General features: G+C 47.5%; 2 annotated features.

Annotated features, from left to right (window-relative positions):
• Positions 14,593 to 15,093: an enhancer, noted in NCBI's record as "H3K27ac hESC enhancer chr5:171125320-171125820 (GRCh37/hg19 assembly coordinates)". NCBI's record gives its function as "activates a minimal SCP1, AML or CMV promoter by ChIP-STARR-seq in primed H9 embryonic stem cells {active_cell/tissue: H9 hESC(primed)}" and the evidence as "EXISTENCE:reporter gene assay evidence [ECO:0000049][PMID:30033119]".
• Positions 15,094 to 15,594: an enhancer, noted in NCBI's record as "H3K27ac hESC enhancer chr5:171125821-171126321 (GRCh37/hg19 assembly coordinates)". NCBI's record gives its function as "activates a minimal SCP1, AML or CMV promoter by ChIP-STARR-seq in primed H9 embryonic stem cells {active_cell/tissue: H9 hESC(primed)}" and the evidence as "EXISTENCE:reporter gene assay evidence [ECO:0000049][PMID:30033119]".

The following is a 16,108-nucleotide window of genomic DNA, read 5'->3' on the forward strand; positions in this document are numbered from 1 at the left end:
TTCAACCAATTTCCCTAGGCTTTTTTTTTTCTCTTCAAATACCCTCCCCAAAAAACATCCCTAGACTGCGCGATTCCCAGTGTTGAAATCTTAGGTATCTTTTTCTTTTTTAAATTTCAGCCTGAACATGCCAAGCTGAACATGCTCAGAATGTCCTTCCCACCTTGGCAGCCCCTGAAGCCCACCTCCTCCTGTTTGCCCTACTGGGTAAGTGTACCCAGTTTTCTAGGAAACCAGTGTTTGGTACGATGGGAACATGCGCTTGTTTGGGTGGGTTTACGAGCAATTTCATTCACCATGCTGAGTCTAAACGTCAAGTAGGTTTTCAAGACCCGAGTTCTACTGAATTCTACAAAATAAAAATACATTCAGTATTTATTATGAAAAAAATAAAAATAAAAAAATAAAAGAAGAAAAGAAAGGAAATGGGGGAGAAAAGAAGTAGGAAGAAGAGGAGAAAAAGAAACAGCAGCAGCCATGGTGAATTCAAAAGAAAACAAAATTTTAATCCAAAAAGCCCCTCAGTCACTTCACAGAATATTTCACAAGAGCTATTTGATGTCCAAATGTAAATAATCATGGTGCTGAGATTTTGTGTGAAACTTTGTCATTTCAAAGCCATTTTTACAGTCGTAAATTAGCTAATCAGCAAATGAATCAGAGACATACGGGTCATATTTCACTCAAATCATATGATTTTAAATTGGAGAGAAACTGCTGTTGGAAAACAAATAGTAAAAGTGCTTTTAAACAGATTTTTATTTATCTATTTTAATGTTTTGATTTTGTGAAGGCCCGGAGCTTGATAGCTGGATGAAACGAGGTTGTACACCAATAGGATCGGGTTGCTCATCACGTTTAATGAGAATATAAACCTCCGATTTCCATTACGGCACCTATGCTTCCCTGGGTGGAAACACTCGAGGGAAGGAAGGGGTAAATAGGCATGCCTACCTGTCCCTGTACCCAATAAAGTCTCAGAGAGAATTTTCCCTGGGGAACCAGCTGCTGAGTAGACCAAACCAGATTCACCTGGGATACACGTCAAAATGATGTAGACGTTTCTCTAAAAAGGGCTTTGAGGCTGGTGGCCTTTATACACATTACTCTCTGCTGACAGCTGATGGGCAGTTTCCAGACATCTGAGGCCTGGTGGTTAGTAAGAATCATAACAGGTCGGGCACGGTGGCTCATGCCTGTAATCCCAGCACTTTGGGAGGTCGAGGCGAGAGGAACACCTGAGGTCAGGAGATCAAGACCAGCCTGGCCAACAATGGTGAAACCCCGTATCTACTAAAAACACAAAAATTAGCCAGGCGTGGTCATGGGCGCCTGTAATCCCAGCTACTCCGGAGGCTGAGACAGGAGAACCACTTGAACCCAGGAGGCGGAAGTTGCAGTGAGCAGAGATCACACCACTGCACTCCAGCCTTGGCAACAGAGTGAGACTCCATCTCAAAAAAAAAAAAAAAAAAAAAAAAAAAAAAGAAGAATCATAGCAATATTAGCGGAAGCCTACTACATTGTTACTAAGTGCCAGGCACTATTCCAGGTGCTTGGCATTCATTAACTCATTTAATCTGATGATGACCCTATGTACTGTTTTCCCCTCTATGTGTAGTTCAGGAAGGGGAGGTTAAAGATGGTCATGTTATCCAAGATCACCAGTTGTTATATGCTGAAATGATGTTCAAACCCAGGCAGCAGGGCTCCAGAGTTCAGGTTGTTAACCGCTGGGCTAGACTGCCGCCCCAGGCACAGTGGAGGTCAGGAGAGCCTCCTCTCCTTGCCGCCCAGCACCCGTGGGGGAGTTAAGGCATTCCTTTGCAGTTGTTCCCCAGCACTGCCATCTGCCTGGGTTTCTCCCAAAGATGTCATTTCATGAACTTGGCTTCTCCAAGGCCAAGTCTGGGGACCCTCTTGGTCTTTCTGGGCCCTGGAGAATGAGCTCTCCCCTGGGCTTGGCCTCCCCCTCCTCCTGCACAGGCCCTATCTGTTTCGCTGACAGAGTGGAAACCTCTTAGACGGGGAGGAAGATTGAGAGGGAGTGGGCAGTATATACTTCCAGAAAAGAGCCTCATTTTTTGTTCCACGTCCCAAGTCTTCCATAGTGAGAAGGGCCCTGAGCTCAGAGGAGGCTGAGAGAACAGGCCTGAGGTTGCCTCCTGCACCGGCCCCACTCCTCCTCCCTCATGTTACTCCAGCCACACTGGCCTCCTTTCTGTCCTTCAAAACCACCAAGCACTTTCCTACCTCCTGCCTTTGCCCATGCTTTCCCCTCTGCCTGGACACCTCTTCCCTAAGGCCTCCAGACTTCTACTTACAGCACTTTGGGAGGCCGAGGCAGGCGGATCACGAGGTCAGGGGTTCAAGACCAGCCTGAACAACATGGTGAAACCCTGTTTCTAATAAAAAATACAAAAATTAGCCGGGCGTGGTGGTACGCGCCTGTAATCCCAGCTACTCAGGAGGCTGAGGCAGGAGAATTGCTTGAATCTGGGAGGCGGAGGTTGCAGTGAGCAGAGATCACGCCATTGCACTCCAGCCTGGGCGACAGAGTGAGACTCCATCTCAAAAAAAAAACAAATGCCTCCCTTTCCCAGAAACCTCTCACCACATCGTCCGAGGCACCCCCAACCCTCTACTTGTTGCTCCTGGTTTTTCCGACTGGTGCCCTTAGGCAGTTTGCAACATTTATTCATTCGCACATCTAATTGCTCACTGACTTGTGATTCTCCCTTTTCGCTTTTGCCCTCCAGGAAGCTGTGTCTCTATGCACCTATATAATAGTATCCAACAACACAATATCTAGCCCAGAGCCCCACGCTAAACCTGGAACACAGTACATGCTCAAGAAATACTTACTGAACAATAAAAAGATCAATCAGATTCTGGTTTCAGAGAGGAGCTCTAATAAAAGAATTTTCCTCCTCTTCATCTTCTGTTTCTGGGCTTCAAACTCCATGAGAGCTGGACTGGAGTCCCGAGATGCATATGCAAATTTATTTTCATTTCATTTTAATTTGACAAACATGGAAAGCTGGGACATGGAATCCAGGTCTACTGGTTCCTGCCCTCAGGGAGCTTCAACTTGGTGAAGTGGGCAGGGTGGGAGGGGGACAGACAAAGGAGGCAGGGTGTCCCCAGCAGAGGAGTGGAAGATGCAAAGGCCTAGAGGTGGGAAAGATCATGGCGTATTTGGGGAGCCTCTGTGGCTTGGCATGACTGGATCAGGAGGACAGGTGGCAGAAAACAAAGCTGGAGAGTCCTTCAGTGTGTCAGTGTGAAGGACAGTCAAGTCCTTCAGTGTGTCAGGCTTACACAGTAGGGACCCCTGAGGGTTTTGCACCTCCAAGTGTGGTGGGGTTGACCAGTGTGGAGCGGGCAAGACAGAGGCAGGGGGTCCCACAAAGGGGCAATGACAGCCATCCAGGCAGGACGAGGACTGAGCGTGCTGACGGGAGAACAGAGGTAAGGGCTATTCAGAAACAAATGTCGGCCTTTCCATGACGCAGTCAGGGAGAGGAAGAAGAAAGGGCAAGGAAGACCCAGAGGTTCCCGTGGGAGACTATCTCAGGGACCCACACTTCCCAGTGGCACCCTGGCCACTCCCACAGCTCTCATCTGAATAAGCTTTGTCCTCAGAATCCTGAACTCATTGTCCCCTGGCAAACCCTCCTCAAGCACACAGCTCCTTCCTGCGCCTGGATAGTGTTTCTGGAAGACCCTGAAACGTCAAGGTCTTTCCCAATTCATCATCGCTGGGGCAAAGCCGCCCAGCTCTCTACCCACAGCAATAACTCTTGGGTTCGAGGGCTGCAGGGAGTGTGATCTACTCTTTGGCAGCTGAAATAGCCATTTCCCTCACGATATAGAACCCCCAATTCACGAGGGTGAGCAGGCAGGGCTCCAAGAGCAGAATACTGCTTCTTTGCTCTCGGTTCAGGGCCAAGATTTAATTTTTAATTTTCAAAAACGTGAGTGGTCAGACCACGGCTTGAAAATTGAAACCATCCTCTGAGCACCTCTGCGTCTCCCGCCTAGACCTTCTCCACTGCAGAGCATGACGTGGCTTGGATGGGGCAGCATTTCAGAGTTTCCCAGCTATCAAGAGTAGGTTTAGGTTTCCACCTTGGGCTGCAGCTGACACTACCTGCCCAGCTCCAAATTCTCTAGCTCTCTGTGACCTTGGGCGTGGTTTTCAACTTCTTCGAACCTCAGTTTTCCCATCTGGTAAAAAGAAGCCTTAAGACAATACTTGATAGAGCTGCCGTGAGGAATAAAAGAGATACGAATGTTAACTCCTAAGACATGTCAGCCAGGCACAGTGGCTCACGCCTGTAATCCCAGCACAGAGAGTTAACATTCTCTTAAGACATATCTTAAGAGCTAACTCTTAAGACACGCCTGCCATAATGGGGAATAGTTGCAATTTCTCTGAGTTATAAACTGATCCAGGACTTTTTAGAGGAGCGAAAATTATATAAACAGTACCTTTACCCACGCATGCTCTCATTTCCTCACTTCTCTGGCCAGGTCTACAGAAACTCTGAGAAGAGTAGGAAGATGGGAGGTTCTCTGATCATTGGCAAGACTCTGAATCTCTCTGGATCTTAGTCTACTCATCTTGGAAATGGAAGCAATAATGCCCAACTTCAGGGTGTAGAGCCAGGTAGGGAAGGGACCTACCATTTATCTAGCGCTGAGGGAGATATTCTCTGATGGAGGGATGAGCTGTGTGAAGTATTCAAGAGGTCTCGCCTTGAAAGAGTAAGAGGATTTCCTCCTTTTCTTTTTCGAGAAGGAAAGGAAGGCTTTATGTCTTGGAGTACCAAGGTTTCCTTGTCCCATGGGGGAGTAAGGGCCTGTACTTTCAAAATCTTAGGTTCAGAGACACAAATAACTGGCTTGCCTAAAAGGGGCTGTTTCCACGGGATGAAAAAGGGGTGAGATTTCTAAGAGTGAGCGTGTGGTTGGGGGAGATGGCCCCACTTGCAGCCAACAGGCCTCCCACCCCCGTGAAGGCCCTGGGAGGGTGGAACCTCCGAGGATAATGACACATTGTTGGACTCCTGGAGAAGGACTGGCCTCATAATTTCCAGAGCCCAGCGTATAATGCAACTGTGGGTCCTTTGTTCAAAAGTTGTTCTGAATTTCAGGATGGTGGCAGAGAGAATGAAACCAAGAGTGAGGCCCTTCTGAGCATGGCGCCTGGGGCAGTGGCATAGGCTGGACACTTGGGAAGTCAGCCTTGCCTCCCTTGGGCCTCAGAAGCCCAGTGAAGACTTCATGGCCCAGATGGGCACTGAGGAGTGGATGCCACAAGCAGAGGACTCCTTGCCTTCCAAGAAACCGTGGCCCAAGAAGATCAGATGACTGGCTCTCATTTTCAGTCTGAATGAGGTTCCTGGAATTCTTTTACAAGTTTAGGGAAAGGAAGCCTCCCCACTCCCCACCCCTAAAGCATTGAGACTGAATATCCTGAGTCAGATTTCACATGACACAAAGTGGAGAAACAAGCCTTGCGTCCGAGTACCATGCGGCAAAGGCTGCTCAGGCCGCATTGCATTTAATCCCCACAACAGCCCTGCTGGCACCAAGCCAGCACTTGTTTCCATGAAGGCTCTCAGCCTCCCAGACTCTCAAACCAACCAGCCAGAGCCTGGGCATATGGTGCGTGCATAGGGGATGTGGGGCTGGAAGGCAGAGCCCAGGCCCCTAGGAGGAAATGCCCCCTAAGGACAGGCACCTTCTGGGGAAACGATGAGTGTATGAGGGAGGTCAGGGCACGTGGCAGGGATCAGAAGATGCTCCCCCATCTAATATCAGTAACATTAATAACGATGGTACCAGCAATAGACAACATTTACTCAGCACTCACTAGGCGTGTCATCTCATCTATTCCTCAGCACAGCCAAGTTAATAGCAACGCCATGGCCCAGAAGAGGAGAACTAGTCTGGGTTCTCCAGAGAAACAGAACCAATAGAATGTTTACATATATCTAAATGTCCATATAGATACACATGTACTATATATGATAGATAGATAGATATGATAGAGTAGATAGATGATAGACAGACAGATAGATAGATACAGTAGATAGATGATAGATAGATAGATATAGATAGATGATAGGTAGATAGAAATGACAGATACAGATGACAGAGATAGATGATGATAGATAAATATAGATGATTGATAGATAGTAGATAGATGATAGATAGATAGATAGACAGAGTAGATAGATGATAGGTACATAGATAGATACAGTAGATAGATGATAGAGATGATAGATATAGATGATAGACAGATATAGATAGGTGATGATAGATAGATAGATACATAGATAGATAGAGATGATAGATAGATAGATAGTAGATAGAGATAGATGATAGATATAGAGATGATAGATATATAGATACAGTAGATAGATGATAGATAGAGATGATAGATATAGATAGGTGATGATAGATAGATATGATAGATAGAGTAGATAGATGATAGACAGATAGATAGATACAGTAGATAGATGATAGATGAGATGATGATAGATATAGATGATTGATAGATAGTAGATAGATGATAGAGTAGATAGATGATAGATACATAGATAGATACAGTAGATAGATGATAGAGATGATAGATAGATATAGATAGGTGATGATAGATAGAGATGATAGATATAGATGATAGATAGGTAGATATAGATGATAGAGAGATGATAGATACATAGATAGATACAGTAGATAGATGATAGAGATGATAGATATAGATAGGTGATGATAGATACAGTAGATAGATGATAGATAGATAGATATGATAGGTAGAGATGATAGAGATGATAGATAGATACAGATAGATAATGATAGATAGATAAATATAGATGATAGATAGTAGATAGATGATAGATAGATAGAGTAGATAGATGATAGATACATAGATAGATACAGTAGATAGATGATAGATATAGATGATAGATAGATAAAGATGATAGATAGATATATATAGGTGATGATAGATATAGATGATAGATAGATAGATAGATAGATAGATAGATAGATAGATAGTAGATAGAGATAGATGATAGAGTAGAGAGATGATAGATACATAGATAGATACAGTAGATAGATGATAGAAATGATAGATAGATATAGATAGGTGATGATAGATGGATAGATAGATAGATAGATAGATAGATAGATAGATAGAGATTTACTTTAAAGATCTGGCTTGTGCAATTTCGGAGCGTGGCAAGTAAAATCTGCAGGGTGGGCCTGGCAGGCTGGAGACCCAGGGAGGAGTGAATGTTGCGGTTTGAGTCAGAAGGCCATCTGCTGCAGAACTCGTTCTTGCTGAGGGAGGTCAGGCTTTCTGTTCAATTCAGGTCTTCAGCCGAGTGGATGAGGCCACCCACTATCAGAAGGTCAATCTACTTTACTTAAAGTCCATCCATGTAAATGTTAATCTTGCCCAAAAACACCCCCACAGAGACATCCAGAATAATGTTTCACCAAACATCTGGGCACTATGGCCTAGCCAAGTGGATACATAGAATTAACCATCAGGTGAGGTGAGCACACCAAGCAGGCAGTGGCCCCAGCTGTAACTCAGGAGGTCCAGCCTTAGGCCCACGCCCTACTGCCCTCCTTGGTGTCCTCTCAAACCATTGCCTGTAATAGATGACTTCAAGAGGCGCATGGATGGACTGTCTATGAAATGGTAGTAGGTATGTATCCACTCAGGAAAACAATATAACTAGCACGTCGACCCCATGAATTTTTGGACGTTATTTCATAGGAAGAGATCAAAGTCAACAAGTGAATCTATTTTAGGATTTTAAAACATGATATTAAGTGAATATTATTAGGTTGAACCATGTGATATTGTCATTTTTGTAGGCAAAAATGGTCAAATAGCAGCAGTTTTCTATGGCTCAAACCTATTGGAAGTTCCGTTTTTCATCGCACTGCCTCCTCTCTAATGTAGCAGAAATGGTTCACAGACTGTCTGTTTTCACCTTCATGTGGCTGCAAAGGGTCTGCTCACCAGAAAGTTCAGATCCAACATCCCTGGCTACTGCACACTTGCCAACATATGGGTCCGGGGATGGAAGGTTGCTCCCATGCAGATGCACGTAGGCCAGCCATGCATGGTGACATGGTATCCTGTGATCAGCCATCTTAAACAGCAGAGAGGCCTCAGGCTTGGGAAGGGGGCACATCAAGACCTAGCTAGTGTTTGCTAGCTTATTAGCTGTGTGACCTTGCTTGAGTGGCTTAACCTATCTGCATCCCCTTTCTCTCCATAAGTACAAAGGGAATTGGGGGCCCAGAAAAATAATTGTCTGTCTCATGTACTTCTAGACAATGAAAACCACATAATCTGTTTCTCTCTGGCCTGGCCATTAGGAAGCTCAGAGCTATACTCCAGGTTTAATTTTCATAGTTTCCACAACTCCTCATACAGCTGGGTGCTGCCTTATCTGTCTCCACACTATATTGTGAAGTGTTTAAGGACATACGTCATCACAGAGGTGGCACATGATTCCCCAGGCCCTGACCCAGAGCAGGTGCTCAGCAAGTGTGTGCTGATTCAGCAATAATACCCGTATTCTAAGCCAGGCACTGTGCTTCTTGCCTTGGCCCAGTTAACCCTCACAACCATGAGCCTATGGGATAGTCACTGCTATTTGTCCCACTTTGCAGATGGGAACACAGAGACCAAATACTGTTCCCAAAGTCCAAGAACTCTTAATAGTAAGTGGTAGTGCTAAGATCGGAGCCTAAGCATTCTGGCTCCAGAGGCCCCTGCTTAACTACACTGCAGGAGAAGCAGGTGAAGGAGAGAGCGACTATCTTCTCTAGGCCTCGTGGTGTAACTTCTCTCCTCTCCTCCCATTCTTTTTTATCTTTTGCCCTGCATTGCTGGGTCTTAGTCTCTGTCACTCTAAGGCTCTTACTGTTGGAGCCATAAACACCTTACAGAAGCTGATGGAGCCATAGTAATAATCACGGGAACTGATCCCCTACAGGCTTTGCTCACTCATCCCTGCCAGACCCTGTGTCCAGCCCCTTTTCACTTAGAACCCCTCACAGCTGCACAGGGGAGGGCATGGTAGTCCCATTTCACCTAGGAGGAAACTGACACTCAGACAGCTGGAGTTGCCTGGTTAAGGTCACTCAGCTGGGATTGAACCCAGGTCTGGGTGACCCCACAGTCAAACAAACAAAAGGCAAAGATTTTTGTGGATTTTCTTCAACAACGAAGTAAAGCAGGAAAAGACCTGGACTTCTCCCCCCTCTGGCCTCAGCTTCTCCGTATATAACACAGAGCATTAAGCCCATTAAGTTCAGTTGTCTCATTCAAATTCCAGCACTGCTGGCTGTGTTACCTCGGGCATGTTACTTAACCTCTCTGAGCTGCAGTTTCCTCATCTGTAAAATGGGAATGAGGATAGTAACTGTCTCTACTTCGTAGGGTTGTAAAGTTAAGTGAGATTAAAGCAATGTAAAGCATTCAGCCCAGAGCCTGGCATATGGTAGGCAGTGGGGAATTTGGGATATTCTTATGAAAATGAAAGTTTTGAGATCTTTTCCAGCCAGGTTGAGATCTTTTCCAGCCAGGACCTCGTATAGCCTAAACACAGGCCTGAGCCCTGGCCCCTGTTCCCTGCAGCCTTGGGGCAGAAGCCCAGCTGGGGTGAATACTCCCCCATCCTCATTGCCCCTGTATGGGGGCACTGGTGGGAGAGGCAACTGCCTTGCCCTGTGCATGAGCCTGGCAATGACCCAGGAGGTGTTTCCTGGGCATGAGGTAATGGAAGGCTGGAGCCTGCCCATCATCACTCGGGCAGGGCAAAACAAGAGTGACAATGCGCCAGGGCTTCCCACGGCCAAGACAGGCACAGGCCAGCCCAGGTTCCAGCAGGAGGAAGCCTGAAGCTGCAGCATGCACACTGTCTTTGTGTCTTAAAAGGAGATGACCAGCAGGCAGCAGATTAGTCTTGCAGTGAACCAGCCTCCTGCTGGGGGACCTGGGCTGGACTCAAACAACTGAAGAGACCCCATAAGCAAATGCCTGACTCAGGAGTGGCCCATCCCCATTCCTAGCCTGGAAAAGAGAGATACAAACAGAATCAAGTCAGAATAAATGTGTGGAGTGAGTCTGGGCTTTCTCCTCTGTCAAACTGGCCAGGTGTCTGACTCCATGCCTGGCCCTTAAGGTTCAAGAGGCAAGAGAACCTGACCCTGAACTAGCAGGTGTTCAGGCATGGAGGTGAGACAGGCTTTGGAAAGTTCAGTGGTGCCCTTTATGATGATTGGGGCAACAAAGGGGAGGAAAATCAGAGAGGGCTCCTCAGAGGAAATGACCTCCAAGCTGGGTCTTGAAGGGTGAGTAGGCTGTCGAGGCAGTCGTCACAAAGAGGGTGTTCTAGGCAGACGGTACTGTATAAGCCAAGGCAGGGAGGCAGGAAATAGTAGCAAGCACTCCAGGATCTACAGGTGCTAGCTGTGAAACATACGAGTAGGTAAGAGAAGGACAATGAGGCTCGTGAGGTTGTCAGTGGCCACAGATTTGTCACTTGTTGGAAGCTTCTTGGGGAACACAGACATCATCTCATTTCCTGTGCCCTCTTTACAGACGAGGGAACTGAGGCTCAGGAAGGTAAAGCAGTTTCTTTCTCCAAGGTCAACTAATAGTAGGGCATCTGAGACTGGAACCCAAGTCTACCTGCCCTCCAGCTGAAGGTCTTTTTTTTGTGTGCAGTGGCGCAATCTTGGCTCACTGCAACCACCGCCTTCTGGGTTCAAGCGATTCTCCTGCCTCAGCCTCCTGAGTAGTTGGGACTACCGGTATATGCCACCATGCCCAGCTAATTTTTGTATTTTTTAGTAGAGATGGGGTTTCCCCACACTGGCCAGTCTTGAACTCCTGGCCTCAGGCAATCTTCCCACCTTGGCCTCCCAAAGTGCTGGGATTAGAGGCATGCGCCACCACTCCCGGCCAAGCTGAAGGTCTTGACTGCTTACTCCATCACCTCTTACCACCCTGGGACCCTCAAAAGCCATGGTAAGGAGCTTGGATTTTACCTGAGAGTAATGGAGATCTAGAGAGGATTTAAGCAGAAGGAAAAGGCGGCCACATTTGCAATTAGCAGCCTCACCCTGGGGCAGAGCAGAGAATGGACAAGAAGGATCCAGAGTAGAGTAGGTCAGAAAATCAGGCGAGCCCAGTGAGCACCAGCCCTGGTGTCAAGCCCTGCCCCAAGGACCTCAGCCCCAACAACCTGGCCCCTGCTTCTCTTTCCAGCTCCTTTACTCCCCGGCTTCAGCCATGTGAAAATCATTCAGCTCCCCTCTGCTGTGGGGCTTCTGTCGTCTTTTCAAATCTGCTATTCCCTCTGCTCGAGCCTTCTCTCTGTTGCTGCTCACCTGACTAATGTCCACTCCACCCCCAGGTTCCAGCTTGAAGATCATTTCCTTCAGAAGCCTTCCTTGACCACAGGGCCTGATATCTGAGTTCTGTGACCCCAGTCACCCTACTTCTCCCCTGGAACATCATTCATTGTTTTCTCCTTTGAGAAAGGGAGGGCACTTGCCCTCGCCCACCCTGGCCCCTCAGTGCCCAGCACAGGGAGCAGTTCCTGGACATCCAGCCAAATGAGGTCTCTGAGGTGGCAAGGCTTCCTCAGATGACATTCAGTGTTGTGTGCCTCCCTCAAACACTGGACTGCCCACCCCTGCCCTCATTGACAGTGACTCCCCAGTCATACAGACATTGTCTCATGAGCCAGGCCCTGGCCACAGTTTTAAGGGAAATTTTTAATCCCGAGGCCCAGGCAATTAATAATGTCATCGTGAGACTTGGACAACAGTGGTCAGTTTAAGGGTGTTCTACTCTGAGAAGACTGCCAGGCCCACTCTCACCCTGTTCGGCCTCTGTCAAACTGGGTCAAGGTCCCTTCTTGGGTTCCACCAGCACTGAGCCATCTCTTGGGGTTTGCATGCCTGTCTGTCCCACCAGGTTTGTCCTATTGAGCCCCATTTCTGAAGCCCAGCACATGGATGAAGCCTGGAACATGGCCAGATGGATAAATGGATGGATGGGAGGGTGGATGGATAGATGGATGGGTGGGTGGGTGGATGGGTGGGTGGATGGATGGTGGATGAGTGGATGAGTGTGTGGATGGATGGATGGATGGAAGGGTAGATGGATGGATGGATGGATGGATGATGGGTGGATGGGTGGATGAGTGGGCAGATGGATGGATGGTGGATGGATGGATGGGTGGATGGCTGGGTGGATGGATGGATGGATGGATGGATGGACGGATAGATGGATGGATGAGTTGCCTAATAAGCATGGGCCATCATAACGAACAGCTCAAACTGAATGATGTCCAAGGTTTACTGTGGACATGGAGGCTGCCCTGCTCAGCTTGGATGGACTGGAGGGGCCCACATAAGAGCCATCTCTACCTCTGATCAGGACAAGGATGAGCAATGCCTATGAATGACAGAGACTCACTTGACAAAAATGAGATGCCCTCCCTTCTAGGGCATCCCTTGCTCCTGTAGACTGGTTGCTTCCATTCTTGATTCCCATCTGGGTGGGCCATACAGTGTCAGCCCACATCAGCCTGCTGTGGGCATCTTCTAGCCCAGACAGATGGGCACAGGACTGGCCCCCTATCTCGGAGAGACCCACAGACTTGCCTTCCTTCATCTTAGGAGGTGGAGGGAACAGGAGATGCCAGATGATACCTATTCCTAGAAATATTGGGACAACCACTGCTTGGAATGGAGAAGGTGGGCCCTAAGGCACAGCCAGATTTTTCTGTGTTAGCAAGGAGATGGGGAATTAAAATCTGTTAACACCTCCCATGTGCCAAGCACTTTACACACTTTGTCTCTAAGCTATACACCAGCTTTATAGATGGTTACTTACATACACACACATGCACAGACACACACCGATTTTACAGATGTGAAAACTGAGGCTCAGAGAGAGGTAGAGTGGCAGGTCCAAGATAACACATTGAATTAGTGGTGGAGCTAGGGTTTGATCCAGGTTCCATGTGGCCCCACAGTGTTTTCAGGGACCCTTCAGCTAGCAAGAACCTCTACCTCGAGTGTCCTGTACCCTCTTCTGTCACAGAGACAGGAGTTCCTGGCCTCCTCCCTCTTCTCTTGCTGAGGCTGCCCAGTTCTCGCTGCTGCTGCCAAGTGCTGAGACCTGATTTGAATTTGGGGTTCTCTCCACTGCAGCCCAACAAAGGTTTTTATTGGAATGCCCCTTAGATTTCCAGATTTTGAAGATGTTTCAACAATGCAGTAAAAGGCAGGTCTTTGCCACAACAAAAGGCAGAAATATCACCAAGAAGTAAACAGAATTCCTTGGCCACTTCAGAGCATGTGTCAACATCTCTTTCCCCTCCTCTCCCCCTGCCCCTTTTCTTGTCTTTTCTTTCTTTACTTTTCTCTTCTCTTCCTTTCTTGTCTGCAGATTCAGATCTTGTCGGTAAAGGTAGCTTGCTGACACGAATGGGCTGAGCCGTGGTTTGCCCTAAACTCAGCAGCTCTGTCTCAGAACAGATGCCGGGGCTTTGGTAAACTGAGAAAGCATAAACTGCTGCGAGACGCTTTCCTGATGACCACAATTACCCACATGGAAAAGCCATTCTGCAGCTCCAGTCCCTCGCCCTACCCCCTGGCACACACATGTAGTGGCCTCAGCTTCAGAAACAGGGCTTCCCAGAGCAAAAATATATGTGACGTGTACAAAACGGCTTGCTTTCAACCCATGGATGGAAATTGAATGCATTTGGAAAGTCCATGCTTAAAAACAATCTTGGTAGAAAGCGTGCCTGTTGACAATGGTGCCTCTAAGTGAGGCCTCACTCCCCAGGCAGGCTTATGAGGGGCTGAGAACAAGCAGTCGGGCCCCACCTGGGACCCCCTCTCACTCAGGAGACAGTCCCCGGGGCAGAGTGTGTGGGAGTGTATAAGAGTGTGTAAGTGTATGAGCATATGGCAGTGTGAGTGCATGTGGCGTGTGTGTGTCTGTGCGTGAATGTGTAAACGGTGAATATGTGTAAGCATGTGTACAGCCTGTGAGAGTGTGTGTGTGTGGCAAGTATGTGTTCACTGCATGTCTAGTCTGTGAGTGTGTGTGTATCCACGTGTGAGGGCATGTGTGTCTGTGTGGGGAATGTGAGTGTGTCTGTACGTGTGTGTGAATGGGTACAATGTGTGCACAATACACACATGCTTGTACAACTGTGTGCATGGCTGTGTGTGTGTGAAGAGAGACAAAGAGGGGCAAGATGCAACCCTTCCATCCTTTTCCAAGGAAGCAAATGTCACCGAGCACCTCCCTTGTGCCTGAAGGAGGAGGAGCTGGGGAGAGTGTTGATCTCAGGAAAGGTGGGGTCGTGGCCTCTCAGAGCTTAGAGGAGATTTTGAGACAGAGACCAGGTTAAGGACATCATCGAAGAGCAAGCCGAGACCATTTTGAAGGGTGCACTGGAGAGGGGAAAGAGGAATGAAGGGATTAGGCATAGACAGCATTGGCATAGAATGGCAAAGAAACCTAAACTCAGACCAGTTAGTCCTGAGTGTGGGCTCATCTCTACCCCTTCCTGACAGTGAGATCTTGAGCAAGTCACTTTTTCCCAGGCCTCAGTTTCTGCAAGTAAAGTAGGGCTAAGAAAACATCGCATTCATGGAAACATGGAAAAGAATGTGTGCAAATCAACTGTAGGCCAAGCATTCAAGAAGTCGCAGCTGGTATTCTTATTATAATCACGTTCCCCGGATGTGACCTGGGAGGAAGGCATCATTTCCCCATTTTAGGGATGAGAAAACTGAAACCCGACGGCCTCACAGCCACATGGTGACAGAGTTGGGGCTGGCCCTCAGAGCCATCCGGCTTCGAAATCTACCGCCTCACCTTTTCTGCTGAGGCTCTGACCTCCAGAAATCCTGGAGGTGGCAGAGCTCAGCCTTCTGTGAAGCCCTCTGAGATTCTGTGGGAAGGAGAGGCCCAGCACAGGGCAGGGGCTTCCCTGGTGGGAGAACATTTTGGATACCAAGACAGGAAGTGGCCTCCAATGAGGAACACTCTGTTTTGGAGTAAGCGGGGAGCAAGCTCCTATCTGTGAGGCCCAGGAAATGCCCTGGGGGTTGAGAGGTGACCAAGACGCAGACCGGGACCCTTTAAAACACCGTAAAACCCTGGCCGTACCATTCCCCTGACCAGTGGTCATTCAACAGCTATTAGCCCCTTCCCATGAAAAGGGGCTCCAGACCACGATTAGACGCCATTGCCCTTTCCAACGTTTACAGTGGTCCAAAAATAGAATGGACTTTGTGAGGGAGTGAGGTTCCCATCAATGGCAATCTGGGATATGGTTGTAGAGCTGAACACAGTATAGAACATTCAGCAATTCAGTGGCTGATGCAATTTAGTGTGACATTATCTACCAAGAGGCTCTATTCATTCCATCAGACACACGACATGCATTTATTAAGCACCTGCTGGATGCTGAGAACTGTGCTGTGCACACAGGAGATGCAAAATTAATATAACATAATCCATGCCTTCAAGAAGCCTCTGTTCTAGCTTAAGTCTCTCTCTCTCACTTACGTCCCTCGCTGGTTCTCATTTTGTTTTAGTCATGGATGAAGTTTGGTGGGTCATGGCTTTAGCATTCTAAGCAAGTATACTGCATATTTGGTATTCATTGTTCTGTTTTTTTAAAAAGTATTTAAGACAAGTGACTTAGGTTGTTTTTGTGAACATGAGGCTTGATCTGACTGCTTTTCTTCTAAAGCAGGACTTCTCAATCTCCTCACTAGTGACATTTGGGGCTATAGAATTCTTTGTTTTGGGGGCTGTCCTGTGCTAATGGCATCCCTGACCTCTACCCTCTAGATGCTAGAAGCACCCCCTCCCTAAGTTGGGACCATCGAAACATCTCCAAGTATTGCCAGATGTCCTCGGGGACAAAACCATGCCCAGTTGAGAACAACTGTTCTAAAGGAGTCTCTCCACTAAGGCAAGGCCCAAAGTGAGGAATAAGATACATACAGTAAATCCAGGGTC

Source organism: Homo sapiens, chromosome 5 (genome assembly GCF_000001405.40).
Source record: "Homo sapiens chromosome 5, GRCh38.p14 Primary Assembly".
Lineage (NCBI taxonomy): Eukaryota > Metazoa > Chordata > Mammalia > Primates > Hominidae > Homo > Homo sapiens.